Raw genomic sequence first — 19,264 nt, 5'->3', positions numbered from 1 at the left:
CCAGCCTGACCAACATGGTGAAACCCCATCTCTACTAAAAATACAAAAAATCAGCCGGGCGTGGTGGTACGTGTCTGTAATCCCAGCTACTCAGGAGGTTGAGGCGGGAGAATCGCTTGAACCCAGGAGGCAGAGGGAGGTTGCAGTGAGCAGAGATTGTGCCATTGCACTCCAGCCTGAGCAACAGAGTGAGACTCCGTCTCAAAAATTAAAAAAAAAAAATAACTACTGAGGAATGTGGATGAAGGATAATCAGAAGTCTTTGGTATTATTCTTACAATTTTTCTGTAAGTCTGGAATTATCTAACGTACAAAGTAAAATATTTTTAACCATATGTATCAGTGCCTGGCCAGACCAGTTACTCAAATCTCTGAGTGGGGACTATATATCAGTGTTTTAAAACTCCCCAATTAAGTATACAGTACAAGGGTTGAGAATCTTTGCTAATCACTCAATGCCTGTTTTTCCCAATATAATTTATTTATGTATGCTCTAGATGCTTGTCAAATAATATAGATGCTTTTGACTGTGTTTCCTCATTCTGGTGCATGTGGTCTACCATTAGTTTTGGTACGAAATGTCTAGTAGCTTTCTGGAGGGAGCTGCTGTGTGAGCATAGAGAGACGGGTGCACATTACCTGAGAGCAGCCCCTTTGTATAGGTACAAGGGAAACTAACGCTGAGCTAGAAAAAGGTGTAGATTTGTGTTTCAGATAAAATATTACCTTGTTAACATATTTGCATATTTACGTGCATATATGTATATATATGGCTATTTTTTTGTTTTGTTTTGTTTTGTTTTTGAGATGGAGTCTCGCTCTGTCACCCAGGCTGGAGTGCAGTGGCACGATCTCGGCTCACTGCAAGCTCCGTCTCCCGGGTTCACGCCATTCTCCTGCCTCAGCCTCCTGAGTAGCTGGGACTACAGGCGCCCGCCACCACGCCCAGCTAATTTTTTGTATTTTTAGTAGAGACGGAGTTTCATCTTGTTAGCCAGGATGGTCCCGATCTCCTGACCTCGTGATCTGCCCACCTCGGCCTCCCAAAGTGCTGGGATTACAGGCGTGAGCCACCGCGCCTGGCCGCATATATATTTTATACAGGTGTTTCTGCATGTATCTATACTAATATAAAAAGCACACTTTCTGGACTCCTGGGTAATTTTAAGTAAGGAGGGATTCTTTTCTTTTTGATAATAGACTGGGTCTCTCTGCCTGTCCAGGCTCTTCAGAATCATGCTTTTGTTCAGTCTGACTTCCTTGTTCTCCTGTTCTCCCTTAAGCTACCGTTCTACCCAAAACTGGCTAGAAGGCCTTTCTGTTTTCCCTTTCTGTGTGGTAGAGACTTCACTTAAATCATAAACTCAATGTCTTTATATCTCCTCAACCTCACTAGCACAGATCCCCAAGGCTTTACTCAATAGGTAAAGGGAAGCTTCTAGAATTTAGAAAACTTTTTAAACTAATAAAACGTGAATTTTGTGCTTAGCTTTGGCATCAATGAGTCTCAAAATATCACATGAAATTCTGAACTTGTTCTAAGCAGTATGGCCCATTCCTTCAAATAATGAACATTATTGAGTCAATTGGTCAGGAAATGTGTGGGACACAACTCTATTAGAGATTTGGGGGGAGCAAAAAGTCATTGCTTTAATACCTCAAAACTATTATCTGAATTTCACAGGTAAAACATAATCATGAGCAACAGCTACTATTTCTTCAAGACACTTCTTACTCAAACCCTCTTCTTTGCTTGCTTTGTCCTAACTGTCCCTAGCTCTCTTTCTTTCCCCTCTACCCTTCTGATTCTAACACCCCTCACCGTGTGCTCAATCTCTTGCTCTACTGACTCACACTGGATAAGATTCTTCTATTTTAATCTTCATTAATCAGTCTCAAACACAGCTGGCTCCATGCTCAGGTATAGCGGAGGAGGGAAGCTCGACTATGTACTAAGAAATTGGGGAGCAGCTTCCACGTGTTGAGTAAAGTTTACGGTCAGACAAAAGAGCATGAGTCTTAATTCATGACCAGGCTGAAAAATGTCCCAAGTTGCTGAAAATTGATTCTGGATGATATTTGGCAAGGTAACTTCTTCAATCATATGTCAAAATGAGTTACTGATGGAAAGCTAAGTGATCAAATCTCAATAAAGAAGCTGGATGGCCCATATTGAATACTGGTTATAGAAGACAAGAAGTGCAGGTATCAGCCAGAGTTTTCTAGAACACTTAAAATTCCGATCCCAGATATTTCGACCTAAGACAGTATGATGTATCCATTTTCTCCACCATGCCAGCAGGCTTAATGAATATAGATGGTTCACCTGGGCTCTGAAGTGGCAAACAGCAGTCACCCCTCCACAAAATCAATGAAAGCCCTGCAGAGCTGGACTCCCAACTGCATTTGTCACAAGGAGGCAACCAGCATTCATCGAAGACACCCAGAAATCCCAGCACCTCCTCATTTTTTCTAAGGTAAAGCCAACTTTTCAATGATGTTTTACTTCTTACCATTTAAGAACTTTATAGCACATCTTATAGTTTCAGGCTTATTATGTACTTAGATTCTGCAGCAAATTGGTAGGAGGTTGGGGAGAAGAGAAATTATGCCACAATGGTATTTGACAGAAGACATATCTCTGAGCTATCTGCTGCCTGATTAAAAAAAAAAAAAAGATTTTGCCAAGATAATCCATATTTACACTGGAGAGTTTGAAATAACTGTGTTACACCTGTAGATTAAACTAAGCCATCAAGAAGCCACATTAACTTGCAGAAAACTGCCCAGGCTCTCACAGTACTCCTACTAGGTTACATGTATCCTCAACATTTCCTGAGAATACTACAGAATCAAAGTTGTTAAAACCAATATCTTTTTTTAATACAGTCATTTCCTTACATACCCTACATGCTGCCTGGGCTCTTATAACCTATAGAGTCACAGATGGGAATTTTCAGCATAAGTGCCAAGAATAGTTTTACTTTTCTATGTGGTCAAAGGGACCCATGCAACTGTGATTATTCTCTTTTGCTTGGACCTAAGAACCTCAAAGACAAATTTTCAATTCAACTTTAATAACAATATTCAAGCCTGTGGGCCACCTGTATTGTGATCTTACATATTGCTTTTCTGGCTTGTTTTTTGGTTGGTTGTGATTTTCTATTTACTCCTTAGGGTTGTCTAAGGTAAGGAAGGATTGCTCTTCTGGTTTGTTTTCTTGCTGGTTGTGATTTTTTATTTACTGCTTAGGTTGTCTAAGGTAAGGAAGGAAAAAAAGAAAGAAGGGAGGGAAGAATAGAAGTAGGAAGGAAGGAAAAAATGAAAGAAGGGAGGGAAGAATAGAAGTAGGAAGGAAGGAATTTGCTGAAATGAGATTAGACTATTTAAGGACTCACCAATGGAGAGTATATCCTTTTCTCCTGCTTGATGTCACTGGAGAACAAAAAACTTTGATCACTTTCATGGGCACCAAATTCTTCTTAAAGAAATAAAAAAGATTCTTCAACACAAGCTATGTGGCTTATTTTAGCCAAATAGTAACAGTAGGCTTCACCTGCACAAAGGAGAAAAGTGAAAGCTAGGTGACCAGGAGAAAGACATTGGCCAAACCAACATAAGAGTTGCTCTCTTCTAAGCAGAACTGCAAAACTCTGCATAGTGCATGCTCACAGGACAAGGACCCTTTAGCCCCCTCTGGACCTACACCATCAGCTCTCACACAAGCCATAAGGAGTGACAGCAAGGGACAGTGCTGCTGTGTTAGATACACTTCCCTGGTGCTGCCCACCCCACCACTCAAATGGTATATCAAATGCCCCAAGTGTCTCAGCTCCCACCCAGCTGTGTGGCTATCCCTCTGGGACACTCTTTCTCTGTGATATCCTTACAACTTTAAGTGAAAGCAACAGAATCCTAGTAGAGCATAATGAAACATAGATTTAGAAACATATTGGAGTACATGAAACTTTAGTAGGCTCCTGAGAGATATAAACAGAACAAATAGCATGGTTTTTTGCAGAGCCATGGTTGAGATGGGTAGAAAAATCCCCATGGAATTTGAATAATATCCATTTGCATGTAGGCTTTCATGGGAATATTCCCACAGTTGTCAGAGTTCTATCCAGATTATAAACCACTGTAATAAATTAAATTTTTAAAAAGAAAGAAACAAGAGCCACAGTCCCTGGGTAGAGTTGATTGCTACCATTTTGTAAAGGCAGCCACAGCTGCAGGATGCCAAAGCCAAGAGGAGAGTTAGACCAACAACAATGTGATTCCCATGGGTCTGCATCTGCTTGTTCCTTCAGCTGGTGTGTTATCTCCCTCCAACAGGAACATAAATAAATGTTGCCTCAGACAGAAACTGCAGCATCAAATATAAAAGCTGTGTATTTGAAATTAATTGCTTTTTGGCACAATTCCCTAAAAAATGACATGCTTTCAGTTGAAGTGCTTCCATGTAAGGCCAATTAAACAAGAGGGGCAACAACTGGGCTGAGGTCAATAAGGGATGTTGGTGATTGTTCAGCAATGAGACAGGCTGTTCTGGTCACCATCTGTGGAAGAAAGCTAGGATGCCGTTTTCAACAGAGGTTGCCAGTTCCTGCAGGAAGCAAGATAACAAAAGGAAGCTCTGGTTAGAGCTTCAGAAGACAATTTTCCCTTTCTTCTAGTTCTGTCTTCTTTATTCATTCATCAGAGTTACCTCTATTCTTCCCAAGTCCTAATCCTGGGGAGAATCGGTCATTTGACATATTGAGAGACCTTGGTGTGAGCATGGTTCTAGGTTTATTCTGCCCAAGAATAGCTGTCAGTAAATCATACTTGATTTTAACAATTTAAAGTATAATTTGCATATCATAAAATTCACTCATTTAGAATATACAATTCAATAATTATAATATCACCACAGTACAGTTTTGGAATATTTTCATCACCCCCGAAAGATGCCTCATGCCCGCTTACATTTAGTCAATCGTAGTTCCCACTGCCAGTCTCATACAACCACTAGTGTACTTTCTGTATTTATATATTTATATACAATTTGGACATTTTATACAAATGGAATTATGCTGGGAAGGCAGGTAACTAACAAGTATCCACTATTCCAGGTAAAGAAAAATTAAGTATATAAACAAATTCTCCCCCTCTTTCCTTTTAGACTTGTAAGGGATTTTTCACATTTAAATCTTTGGTCCATTTGAAATTTATCCACAGTAAAGCTCCAGCTTTTTTCCAGATGTGGCCCAATTGTTTTAGTTTACTTTATGAAATGGACATATTTTTCCTATTGGTTTCAGATGCTACCTTTATTGAATAGTGAATTCCTATACGTTTTTGCTTTTAGTTTCCTATTGTAATTTTTTTTCCTATTTCTTTATATTCCATCAGTCTCTCTTTATGTGCCATTGCCACATCTTTAAAATTGTTTTTATACCTGGTAGTACTATCCGCACTGTTAGCTCTTATTTTAAAAATTGATTCTTGCCATTTGTATTCACCTATTTTTTTCACAATGAACTTTATCCTTGGTGGGGAAAACCTTTGTAATGCCACCCAAAATGCAGAAATCATTAATACCACGATATGTTTGTCTACATGAAATTAAGTTCTTCTGAAAGATGAACTAAAACAAATAAAAATCCATAAACGGAGTCAAAGTCAAAAGACAGTGCATCTTTTCAATAAACATTCTGCAACTCATATCATTGATGATGGGCTAATAATGCTGATGTACAAGGAGTTCCTAGAAATAAAAAGACCAAAAACTCAACAGAAAATAAGCAAAAATATATTAATGTATAATTCGCAGAACAAGCCTGTTCTTACCCGCCGTTAGACAGCCTCACATTCAGTCTTGCTTTTTCTTCTCTGGATGGTGGCCCTAACCAAGATAACTGTAAACAAATTCAACATGCTTTAGGTGAAGGAAGAAAATAGACAATCTCTGCTCTATTTTCAGATAGAAAATACGGCATGTGGGGTAGTGGAAGCCCACATACCAAGACCACTAAAGAAATCCACGGATGGTTGTAAACTATGATAGTATCTCAAATGAGGAATTAAGAAAGGGAAGTTATAGACTGGTTTTAGGATAATTATTAATCAAGACCTGGGCAGGGACTATTCAGAACTTATAAATCAGATGATTTGCTGGAATGAGCAATGGTTCTATCTTTGAAACACATGGATTCCTGCAGAGTTACTGTTAAAACGGTTTTTTTATGCTCTAAGCTTAGAACATACGAGTCTGAAGGTACTGGTATTCCAACAACTGGAGTTTTGATCGTTCTGTTGCATGTCATCATTTGAAGCATTTTATCTGTTTTGTGAGTCATAGTGCAGGATTACAGATTGTGATTCCTGTTTTCATTTCTCATGGTTTATATGGCACTTGGATATCCCCCATAACTAATCCATTAGGTATATACTATAATCTTCATTTTATTGATGAGAAAAGTGATGCAACAAGATTTTAAGTATTTTTGTCTAGAGTCTCAAGTTACTAAGTAGCAGAATTGGATTTTAAACCCATGTTTGTATGTCTCCAAAGCCTGCTTTGAACATTTATCCACATGCCACTAACACAGGGATTCTTTACTTGGTGTACATGAAATATCTCCAAGATGCTTCATAATTTCTGCAATATTGGATGCTAATTTTGGAATGTGTGTATTTGTTGGGGGGAAGGGAGATAATCCATTTATCCATCCAATTCTCAATGGATGGTTAGGTCAACTAACAAAAAAGTCTAAAAAAATCTTTGCCCTAGAGAAACTGTCTCCCTAAACTGAGGACAGCTCAGCCCCACCTTAGGGTAGGGAGAGGACATCTATTTATTTTAAACAGCAGAGTGAGCAGAGTGACCTCGTTCAGAGCTATTGAATGGGTTGGGTTTCTCATTTGTAGCTCTGCTGGAATAAAATAAAGAGCTGAGGGGAAGCAGACAACGACCTTGGATTGGGAACCAACAGAAAAGAGAATCCACGGTTTCTATCTAACCAGGGAAATTGCCTTGGGAAAGTCATGCAATACATCTGAAAGTCACCCAGTGCCTCTGGCTCTCTAAATCAAGTTCATCTATCCCAGACAGATCCAAAAAGAAAGTGATTTCAACAGAATTAATATATTCTCTATGTGGTTCATGCAAATTTGAAATAAAAACTAGACTTTCTAGTTTCTTCCAAGCAAGGTCTCTCAGAAGTCTGCCTTTTTAAAATGAAAAAAAAAAGAAATTAAATTCATAGTGTAATAGGTGAGCTTGTTTTCTCAAGAACAAGAAAAATTACTTTAACTCATTTGTTCATGTGACTAAGTTTTTCAAGTACTAATAGAAAAGGAGTTGAGAATTAACAAAAGAGGAGGTGATAGCTCACGCACGCGCACACACACACACACACACACACACACACCCCTCCATGAGCTCCTCCCTCATGGCTTGTTGCCAGCTATGATCTCCAGAACAAAGCATATAAAATTTCTTGAGAAGAGAGATTATAAAGTAACAGCAATGGCAAAAATATGCTTATAAAGATAAGGATTCAGCATTAAAACTGCCAAGCAGCTCAAAGGATGCTGCCAAAGTGAATTGTCTCTAGTTTGTGAATCGTCTCTATTTTGTGGAATCTGAATATTCTCTAGGTTTCTTTTAAGGCTTCATTTCAGGCTTTTCTTTTCTTCTGCTTATCACAATTGCATCCAACCTGCAGCTGTTATGCACATTTCAGAATAATTGTTTATTTCTAATAATGTATTGTTTGTCTAAATGGAGAAGGGAGAGATCAAACTCTTTCTGTCCATCTGGAGCTGGCGAGCAGCTGGATAAAATCAGGGAGTTGATATACTTCGTTCTCTAAGTAGCTCACCACCTTAACACTCCAGCCCAGCCAGAGCTGTTTCCCTGGATGTACGCTGGTCTGTGTCATCTCATCTTCTCCATTATTCTTCAGCCTTCTGGCTGGGGGCTTGGAATTTTCACCTCCTATGAAACAAGTGTCTGAGAATTCATGAGAAGAGACTGCCACACTAGGGCAGAGCACCTTCAATAGTCAGAGACTGAAATTAACCATAACCAGACAGCCTGCATGCCTGCAGTCAAATTATTCATATTATAGAGGAAACACAACAGCAATTTTGTGACTGAAAAAGATTGCTTAGATCACGCCTTGGCAAAACCATAAACAAGAATTAGGAACAAACAAAAAACAAAACAAAACAAACACAGTGCGCTTTATAGCCCTCAGGATGTTCAGCTGGTGGTGGCTCACATCTGGACTGTATGCCACCAAGAAACATTGAAATGAGTCTTTGCTAGAGGCTCTCTCTGAGAGCCAAAAGATGAACTAGTAACTTCGGAAATGTGCAAATGTGTATCTAATGTGAGCATTCTAAAGCTTGTCTGAGGAAAAGTACTTAAATTGGATACCTATGTTGTCCCAAGGTTTTATAATATACAGTTGACTCCTGAATAATGTGAAGATAATGGGTGCAGATCTGCCACACAGGCAGAAACGTGTTTACGTTTGACTCCCAAAAAACTTGACTATTAGGTTGGTGCAAAAGTAACTGCAGTTTTTGCCATTAAAAGTAATTAAAAGTAATGGCAAAAACTGCAGTTGCTTTTGCACCAACCTAATACTAACAGCCTACTGTTGACTAGAAACCTTACTGATAATATGAACAGTCAATTAACACATACTTTATATGTTGTATGAATTATGTACTGTATTCTTGCAATAAAGTAAGCTAGAGAAAAGTAATGTTATTTTTAAATTATAAGAAAGAGAAGATACATTTACTATTCACTAAGTGGAAGTGGATCATGATAAAGTTCTTCATCCTTGTGGTCTTCACATTTAGTAGGTTGAGGAGGAGGAAGAAGAAGAGGGATTTATCTTGTTCTTTAAGAGGCGGCAGAGGCAGAAGAAAATCCACATATAAGTGGACCTGCATAGTTCAAACCTGTGTTGTTCAAAGGTCAACTGTACAGTTAGTTCGTTTATTTTATTGTGCTGTGACATTAATATATGTAATCAAAAAATAGTAAATCTAGATATAACAAATAGTCTCAAGTTGGGATCATAACCATCCAAATTACTACATTGTTTGTCCATAAATTCCAAGAAGTCCAGGTTTCAAAGTCATTTCTTTATGGTCATTATGGCCTTCCAAGTTTGCTTATTCCCACATTTGGTACATGATCTGTGAAGTTATTGGGGCACTCTATTAGTCCATTTTCACGCTGCTGATAAAGACATACCTGAGTCTGGGTAATTTACTGAGGAAAAGAGGCTTAATGGACTCACAGTTCCACGTGGCTGGGGAGGCCTTACAATCATGGTGGAAGGCATCAGGCACATCTTACACGGCAGCAGACAAGAAAGAATGAGAACCAAGTGAAAGGGGTTTCCCCTTACAAAAAAATCAGATGCCTCAAGAACAGTATGGGGGAAACCACCCCCATGATCCAATTATCTCCCACCGCATCCCTCCCACAACATGTGGGAATTATGTGAGCTACAATTCAAGATGAGATTTGGTGGGGACACAGCCAAACTATATCAATCACCATAGTTTATAAAATACTTAAGAATCTAAGTTTCAGGGACTACAATCAATACAAATACAACCAGACTTTATATTTCTGGGGAAAATTGTTAGACTATCACTCTAAGACTAGCTTACTATCTTTCACCAGTCTGGGAAAAAATGGAAATAAAATCTTAGTACATCATACAGGACTAAGGTCAAATCAAAAATAGATAAGGCCTAATAAGTCCTGAAACTCAACTTTGATTAAATCATGGTTATTGGCCAATATCCTGCTTGGCCAACAGAAATATGTTAAATTCTTAATGTGGGAAGATAACGTCATCCAGAGACTCTAAAATGTTTTATAAGCAATGCCTGGCATTCAATGAAAATTACCAAACATGAAAAGAACAAGAACACATGAGCAAAAACAGACAACAGAAATAGACTCAAATGTGAAGCAGATATTAAAACAATTAGACAAGGACAGCGAAAAATCTATAATTAATATAATTAACACAATCAAGAAGTAGGTGCAGAATTTTACCTGGGAACTGGTATTTATAAGAAAGAATCAAAGGAATTTCAGAACTGAGAAAATATTGGCTAAAACTAAATTAATTCAGAAGATGAGTTTAACAAAGAATAAAGAACTAGTATATTCAAATCAAGAGATGAATTACACTGAGTATTAAAATGTATGGGACACAGTGGAAAGTTCTAATGTACATGTAATTAAAGAACCAGAAAGATGGAGAAGTATGAAGCAATATTTGAATACATAACACCTAAGAAACTTCTAAAACAGAAATAAGGCATCAAGCCATAGACTCAAGAAACTCTGTTAAAACCAATCAGGATTAACCTAAAGACAACCAAACCTAGAAACTTTATAGTAAAACAGCTCAAACTGAAGACAAAGACAAAATCCCAAAAGCAGCTGGATTACGCATTTCTATCAAAACCTACAGATATCACCAAACTAAAGGATGAAACTTTAGAATGATCTTTAATGCAGTGAAGGACAAGACGAAGGTTCCCAGTTTTTCAACAGTTCATTAATTCCAAGTCTTTTCTTTATGATCTTTATGGCCTTCCAGGTTTTTTTGTTGTTGTTATTCAGGTTTTTTGCTTCACATTTTAGGGATGGTTTTAGAAGCTAGAATTATGTAAGTGTCTACCCAAAGAAGCCATGATGAGTACAAATACAAACAGGTATTGTTGCCAGCCAATACAATGATATGAAAAAGAAATACATTTTAAGCATTTGAAAGATTTAGATTATTCTCCTTATTTAGATGCTGTTAATCTATTGGCAAAATATTATGACCGATTATAGAGAATAAGATTAATATACAAAACTTCATACTCTTCCTAAACACCACTAACTGAATAATAACAAAATTTCTGTGGAACTTGACAAGCTTTGATAAGTTGTATATCTTCTGCAAAATTAATCTTATTTTTGGCATTTTCATATCATTGATATGAAACAGCAAAGGCCAAAAATAACTTAAGATTAATTTTGCAGAAAAAATACAAAGCATAGGAATATGATATTAATACATACTACAAAGCATAGTGATTAATATTAATGCATGTGGTATAAATAAATATAATATGAAAAAAATAAATAGTACTTGCTATAGTTTGGATATTTGACCCCTCCAAACCTCATATTGAAATGTGATCCACAATGCTGGAGGTGGGGCCTATTGGGAGGTGTTTGGATCATGGGGCAAATCCCACATAAATGGCTTGCTGCCATTCTTACAATAGTGAGTTCTCACTCTATTCATCTTCATGACAGCTGGTTGTTGAAAAATATCTTAGCATCTTCCCCCTTTCTTGTACACAGCAGCTTGATTTCACCTTCCCCATGTGTGGAACCAGCCTGAAGCCCTTAACAGAAGCAGACACTGGTGCCATGTTTCTTGTATAGCAGGGGTGTCCAATCTTTTGGCTTCCCTGGGCCACATTGGAAGAAGAAGGATTGTCTTGGGCCATACAGAAAACACACTAACGATAGCTAATGAGCTTTAAAAAATTGCAAAAAAAAAAAAAACAACAAAACTCATATGGTTTTAAGAAAGTTTATGAATTTGTGTTGGGCTGCATTCAAAGCCATCCTGGGCTGCATGTGGCCTGCAGGCTGCAGGCTGGTCAAGCTTGCTGTACAGCCTGCAGAATTGTAATACAAATAAACCTCTTTTTTTAATAAATTAAATTACTCAGCCTTAAGTGTTCCTTAGCAACACTAAATGGACTATGAAAGTACTAAAAATAATTCATAAGAATTAAAATCTTCTATGTATTTGCTGTTTTTAGCATTTTGATTATTTTATGGTTAGAGATGGTTTTCTTAGAGTTTATCCTTCTTGGTGTTTATTGAACTTCTCAGACTTGTGAGTTGCTCTTTTTCATCAAATTTGGAAAATTCTTGGCCATTATCTCTTCAAATTCTTTTTGTCCTAATGTCTCCCCTATTCCTCCTGGACCCCAAGTACAATCCTATTAAACAGCTTATTATTGTCCCATGAGTCACCAATGCACTCTCTCATATTTTTTTCAGCAAGTTTCCCTCTGTGTGTTATGCTTTATAGTTTTTGTTGCTATGTCTTTAAGTCCATTGATTTTTTTTCTATATAATCCAATCTGCTGTTAATGTCATCAATATTCCCCAATCTGTTTGCTCATTGTGTTATCTTTTTCTTTAAATTTCAGGCATACTATAACTTTTTAAAGTCCTTGCCTGCTAACTCCAACATATCTTCTATCCCAGCCTTTTCCTGTTTGTCAGGTTTTTCTTCTGGTTGTAGCTCACACTTTCTTATTTCTTCCCATATCTAGTAATTTTTCTTTGTATACTAGACATTGTATATGTTACATAGTTGAGAACCTAATTTTTTGTGTGTTCCATTAAAGAATGTTAAGGTTTATTCTGGCAGGTAATTGACTGGAAGATAAGCTTGATCTTGCCATGGCTTACTGTTAGTACTTCTTAGTATAGGTCCAGAGTAACCCTTATTCTAAAATAAGGTGTAACCCTACTCGAAGACAGAGTTTTTGGCATCTCAGCTAAATGCGTGGCTGAGATGCCCAAAGCTGCCTGATCAGAAATTTAACATCTCTCAAAACTGAATGATATCTAAAATACTAGTTCAGCTTGTGGTGCCCTGCAGCATTTCTCTGTCACAACTGAAGAAATTGCATGCCATGCCAGTATAGTTTAGTATTAAGCCAAGAGTTAAGGGGTACCTATGCAGATTTATAAAATTCCTTCTCTGAATATATGTTTTCTCCAGTACCATACTCTGTACATTTCAGCCTTGCAGCATCCCCAAACTCTGATCTCTGTTTCTTCTACCCAGAAGGACAGTTACTTTCTGCTTGTTCCAATTCCCTGTGCAATTGTTTGGAACAAGCACCAGCCAGAAATCCAGGGTGAATGTTGAGCTCTCCTTGAGTATTTCCATTTGCTCAAGGATCAAAGCCTTGCACTACCTATTGTTCAATATCTGAAACCAGTTGCTTCAAATATTTAATCCAGTTCTATAATTGTTTATAGCAGGAGATTAACCCTATAACTATCACTCCATCAAGGAAAGAACAGGTAGTCTATCTAATTCTTTTAGCCTCTTCCACATTTCAGTTTTACATTTATCTTTGTCTCTCTATTATCCTCTCCATTGCATCTATTCATCCTTGCGTTCCTCATAATTTATCTTTTATTCTTAAATGGTTTTTGTCTTTTTCTTCCATTTCCTTTCTGAGCTCTACCAACTTTTGTTTTATACTTCCCTGTTTTTGATTTTTTCTACTCTGAGTCATGTACGCTTTCACATATGCAATTGCTCATTTAACAATATTTAACTCATAAACAGTATTTGTTACAATGTTCTTCATTTTCATGACTTTTTGGCAACATTTTAATATGCTAAAGGTTTTGATACTAATTTACATTTTCTTATAATAACTTTACACAGGTGCTGGTTTCTTATGTTTGTATTATTATTATATCAGATTTTTGCAATACCAGGAATGTGGACATTCACAATACCAGGAAATTCCATGGGGAGAGGAGTTTTATAAGTAGGGAAAGGGAGGGCAAGTGGTTTCATAATTCAGAAGTCAGAATTGCCATATTCAGTTTCTACAGTGAAAAACAGGGTTTTTCTCCCTCTTTTTTCCCCCTCTTTTTTTCCCTTATTTTGGAAAACTATTTTGTTTCAGTAGGTTCTTTATCTGAAATAGGAAGCCTAAAGAGACACCAACAGCCTCAAGGTACCAGTAATTCCCCAAAAGAGGGACTTACCAGACTTCCACTTCCTTTTGACTTCCCAGTGACTCTGATCCACTAGATTACAGATATCTTCTTAGGATTTGCCAACCACAGTGGGACCTTTTTCTACTAGAGGTAAAATAGTTAATGTGGGGAGTTATGGTTTCTGCTTGAACATGTAAATAGCTTGGAAGTCATCACCTCCATCTTTACAAGGGAAATCTGAATAAACTAAAAATCAAAGACTTTTCTTGGACCCACCAAGAGAATTGAGGTCATGGGGCAAACCAACTCCCAAATATGGAGAGAGGTACATGCAGAAAGATACAGCAACCAATATCTTACTTGGAGCAGAAGCTTCTAGAGACATAAACTGGTATAAACACTTAAATGGTGACTTTGATGAATTTCTGGAGGCTAAGTGTTTACTAGCATGAGATTGAGAAGGAGTTCCCACACTTTTGTGGTCCTTCTCTTCAGTAGTTCCACTAGGTTGACATTGTATGTATCTCAAAAATATGTCCTCATGGCTCTTTTAAGTGGAGTGGAAGAACAGCCAGTGTAAAATATGCCAGCTGTTTCTAAAGGAAAAAAAAAAAAGCCCACTTGCCAGGAAAAAGAAGATGGCCAGCACTCAATTCTGAACCCTTACTCCAGAAAGAGAAGAGAAATTCTTCCAGCTCAAGTCTCCAGTTTTCCTACGTCACCTAAAGCAGTAGAAAACACACTAGTTCACAGAGATTAGAGTTCAAATAAATAGATTAGGAATATTGCAGCCAGAAAGGTAGGAGGGACAAAGAGACAAAAGCTACACCACTGGAGAAACACTGGTGAAGATCACAGCCTCAAACACCGAGGTAATAGAAGGCTGAGACTTAATCAGAAGATTATACAGGGGGCCAGTGTAATAACTGTGCTTGCAGCTGTAAGAACTGCAGGAGAAAAATGTTCTTTAAGGAATAGAACATAGAAAAACCTACAATCAAGAAGTGAAACAAAAACAAGGATGCTAGAGGAGATTGAAATGTTTGGTGCCTACATCTATGAGCAACACTAAACACGACCCAACTCCTAACCAGAATAACGTAAGTCCTCAATTTACCTGTTTCCCATTACTCAATATAAAAAAGCAGAAGACATGCCAGAAGAAGAACATACACAATCTGAAAAGATAAAGCAAGCATTAGAATAAAACATATGACACAGGTGTTGGAATTATCAGACAGCACATTTAAAATAACTATGATTAATATGTTAAGAGTGCTAATGGTAAAAGTAGCCTAAGCAAAAGCTTTAAGAAAAAATCAAAATGAAATGCTAGAAATAAAAAAACACAATAACAAAAATGAAGAATACTAATATACACTAATTATAGGCTCATTAGTATACTTAGCACAACTGAGGAAAGAATAGATAAACTTGTTGACAGGTCAATAGAAACCTCTTGAACCAAAATAAAAATAAAAGACTGAAAATTTAAAAATAGAACAGAACATCCAAGAACTGTGGGACAATTTCAAAAGATGTAACATACACATAATTAGAATGCCAGAAGGTAAAGAAAGTAAGAGCAAAGGAGAAAAAATATTTGATGTAATATTGGCCAACAATTTGCCAAAGTTAATAACAGGTATTACTTAGGTAATGTTGAAAGAAAAAAAAAATCAACTCAGAATTCAGACCTAACAACTAGGAACATTAACCTTCAAAAGTGAAGGAAAAATAAATAATTTCTCAGGCAAACAAAAACTAAGGGAATTCATTAAGGGAAGAACTTCCCTGCCAAAAATTTAATAAATATAAAAAGAAGTTTTTCAGTGATAAGGAAAATAATATAGGGCAGAAACTTAGATCAACATAAAGAGTATCTGTATGAAATATATGAAGGCAAAGTAAATCTTTATTTTCCTATTCTCAAATAAGCTAAAAGATAACTGTTTAAAGCAAACATATTAACAGTTTTAAAAGAAGTATAATTGCTATCCTAAGAGAGGAGATAAAATAGAAACATAAAAAATACTCAGTAAGACTAGAAAGGACAGAAAAAGTCAGAATAAAATAAATAAATGACAAATGTAATAAATAAAAGTTCCAAAGATGGTAGATGTCAATGTAACTGTAGCTATAATCACTTTAAATGTGAATGGACTAAATATACCAATTAAAATACAAAGATTGTCAGGGTAAATATTTTTTTAAAGACCCAACTCTATATTGTCTACAAGAAACTCACTTTAAGTACAAAGCCTCTAATAGGCTAAAGTAAAAGAATGGAGAAACATATACCATGCTAACACTAATCAAGAGAAAGCTTGGCAGATTATTAATTTTAGACAAAGCAAACTTCAAGGTAAAGAAGATTATCAAGCATAAAAAAAGGCATAACTTAGTAATAAAAGAGTTGGTTCTTTAAGACATAATTTTAAATGTATAAGCACCTATCAAAAGAGTATCCAAATACATGAGACAAAAACTGATAGAACTGCAATGAGAAATAGACAAATCCACTACACTTTCAGTAATGCATAGATCAAGAAGGGAGAAAGTCAGTAAGGGCACAAATGGTTTGAACAGCATTATCAATCAATTGAAACTAATAAACATTTATAGGGTACTCCAGCAACAGCAGAATACACATTCTTCTCAGGTTCATAAGAACATTCACCAAGATAAACCACATTCTAGCCCGTAAAACACAATGAATTTTTTAAAATATAAATTATATGAAGAATGCTCTCAGAACACAATAAAAATCAATAACAGAATGATAGCTAAAACATTCCCAACAGTTTGGATTAAACAACACTTCTAATAAGCTATGGGTCAAAGAAGAACTCTCGAGAAATTTAACAATATTTTGAACTAAATGAAAATGAAAATTTATGGAATGCAGTGAAAGCTGTGCTTACAGGAAAATGGATGGCATTCAATGCATATACTAGAAAAGAAGAAATTCAGTAACCTAAGCTCCTCCCTTAGTAAACTAGAGGACGAAGAGCCCATTATACCTAAAGTAAACAGGAAAAAAGGAAATAATGAAAACTATAGCAGAAATCAATAAAATTATAAACAAGAAAATAATAGAGAAAGCAATAAAATCAAAGACTCATTCTTTAAAAAGATTAATAGCATTGAAAAACCATTTGCCAGACTAACCAAGAAAAAAAGGGGAAGTCACAAATTATCAATATCAGAAATGAGGGAGCAGTCATCACTACCAATCCCATGGATATTCGAGGAATAAGAAAGAAATGCTACCAATAACTCAATGCACACGTATTTGATAACTTAAATGAAATGAACCAACCCTTTGAAAGATACAAACTACCAAGTTACAAAAGGAGAAAGAGCTAACTTATATAGTTCTACATCTATTATGAAATTGAATCAACAATTTAAAACATTTCTAAAAACAAGGAATCTGGCCCAACTTGTTTTACTGGTGAATTCTACCAAATATTTAAAGAAGAAATAATACCAATCTCTTTCAGTAAACAGAAACAGTGTTAAATTGCTGTAACTTATAATAAAATATTTCCTTAAGTAAAATGTATTTAACACCGTATAAGAGTTGTCAAATAAGCATTAGCATACAAATTTAAGATAACAGAAACTTGTTCAGATTCAAGTTGAGTGCAGATCTCTACTTCTCAGAGACAAGTTGGGGAGTCTTTGCATGGTTTCCTGGATGGCCTATCTCGCTTTCACTGCAGCTGTATGCAAGAAAAGGATCACGAGAGAGGTGAGTGGTGCACTGGAGCAAAAAGTCAGGTTCTCCATTTAATGCATTTATCAGCAAGGCAAGATAAATAAACTCCTCAGTTGTCTACAAAAGGGAGCTAAGAGAGTTAGGGAAGAAATCTGAAGAATTTTAATAATTATCTACTGGGAAATTATGAAATGTTCTTACTTTATGATAAAGATTTATACTGAGTCTGAGAGACTATCCTCAAATTTGGGAATTAAGCAAATTTTAGGAAGAATTGATCAGTGATAGTTTCATTAGTGAGAAAACCTAATAGTTTCTTCTTATTATTATTTTTACTATTACTACTCTAAAAACATATATAAATGTGGTATTGTTTAATGTTTCTGTGCCGGATATTTAATGAAATAATATGATTCATTTTTAAAAGAGAGTACTACTTGAATTATGAAAAAAGGAATAACTAACATTGAATGAGGAGGTCTAATAAGTACTGGATGTGAAGTTTGGCATAAAAATATGACCTCACCAAAGAAACTCAATTATATGTTGGCAGCATACTATAATTGTGAGCAAAATGCTAAAAAGAAAATTTATAACTCCTAAAGTGAGATAATCACATCAAAGATTTTAAAATATTGACAATGCTTTTATGACATTCCCTCATTCATTAGCCTAGAGTTCAGTGAAGTTTTACATTTTTGAAATAGCATCGAATCTCTTAAATATTGTTTTGTTTGTTTTCATGAAAAGAATATAGGAATATTGGCCAGGCACGGTGGTTCACACCTGTAATCCCAGCATTTTGGGAGACCAAGGCAGGTGGATCACCTGAGGTCAGGAATTGGAGACCAGCCTGGCCAACATGGAGAAACCTCACCTCTGCTAAAAATACAAAAATTAGTTGGGCATGATGGCACACACCTGTAATCCCAACTACTCGGGAGGAAGAGGCCCAAGAATCGCTTGAACCCAGGAGGTGGATGTTGCAGTGAGCTGAGATTGCGCCACTGCACTCCAGCCTGGGTGACAGAGCGAGACTTTGTCTCAAAAAAAAAAAAGAAGAATATAGGGAATATTGTACCAGATATTATTAAGAGACTTCCAGACGTTTCATTGCTTAATACTTTCTTTCTTCAAGTAACAGACAATGAGTATAAATAAAGAAATGATATAAAATGTTATATATCATAATTACCTGGGGATATTTTTCTACATGTTCTTGCTCCTTTCTCCACTCCACAAAGAAAGAAAGAGAGGGAGGGAGGGAGGGAGGAAGGGAGGAAAGTAGTTCCTCTGGGTATTTCTGAAAATCCCTCAAGCACTATCATTATCAAAAAGAAAACACTGGGATGGGAGCATGTCAAAATATTAAGTAACCCAAGGAACACAGGGCAAAGCCAGACAAGCAGCCAGTAGGCAAGGACCACCCAGAGCCAGAGGAGAAACAGGGTGGCATTGGAGGGCCAGGAAAGGGCTGGAGAGGGGCAGCAGACACACCAGTTGAGACATAAAGGGAACCTGGAAACACAGGCAACACCTGCCTCAGACAAGGAGCTCCCTATTCTTCTTCTCCTGCATAAACCAATGACTCTGACCTCCCTGAGCACAACTAGTAGTTGAATTAACAGGAGCTAGTAGTTGAATTCATAGGAGCTAGTAGTTGAATTAACAGGAGCTATGTGCTATGACAAAGAGAACATGGTTAACTTTTGGAAGGGGTCCGAACCCAACTGAGTGGG

At 36.6% G+C, this 19,264-nt stretch overlaps 1 long non-coding RNA gene across 4 annotated transcripts in view; it reads right to left on the bottom strand.

Moving 5' to 3' along the window:
* Window positions 1-19,264, bottom strand: part of LOC107983974 (uncharacterized) — a 207,567-nt gene that overhangs the window by 169,267 nt on the left and 19,036 nt on the right. For 3 of the 4 annotated variants that reach the window (XR_001751681.2, XR_001751679.2, XR_007064771.1), the window contains exon 4: window positions 3,399-3,556. This is a non-coding gene — a long non-coding RNA (uncharacterized LOC107983974). The remainder of the gene's footprint in view (window positions 1-3,398; window positions 3,557-19,264) is intronic. The other variant, XR_001751680.2, reaches the window with a different exon arrangement.

Source organism: Homo sapiens, chromosome 15 (assembly GCF_000001405.40).
Source record: "Homo sapiens chromosome 15, GRCh38.p14 Primary Assembly".
Lineage (NCBI taxonomy): Eukaryota > Metazoa > Chordata > Mammalia > Primates > Hominidae > Homo > Homo sapiens.
This window is presented reverse-complemented; position numbering and strand designations above follow the sequence as displayed.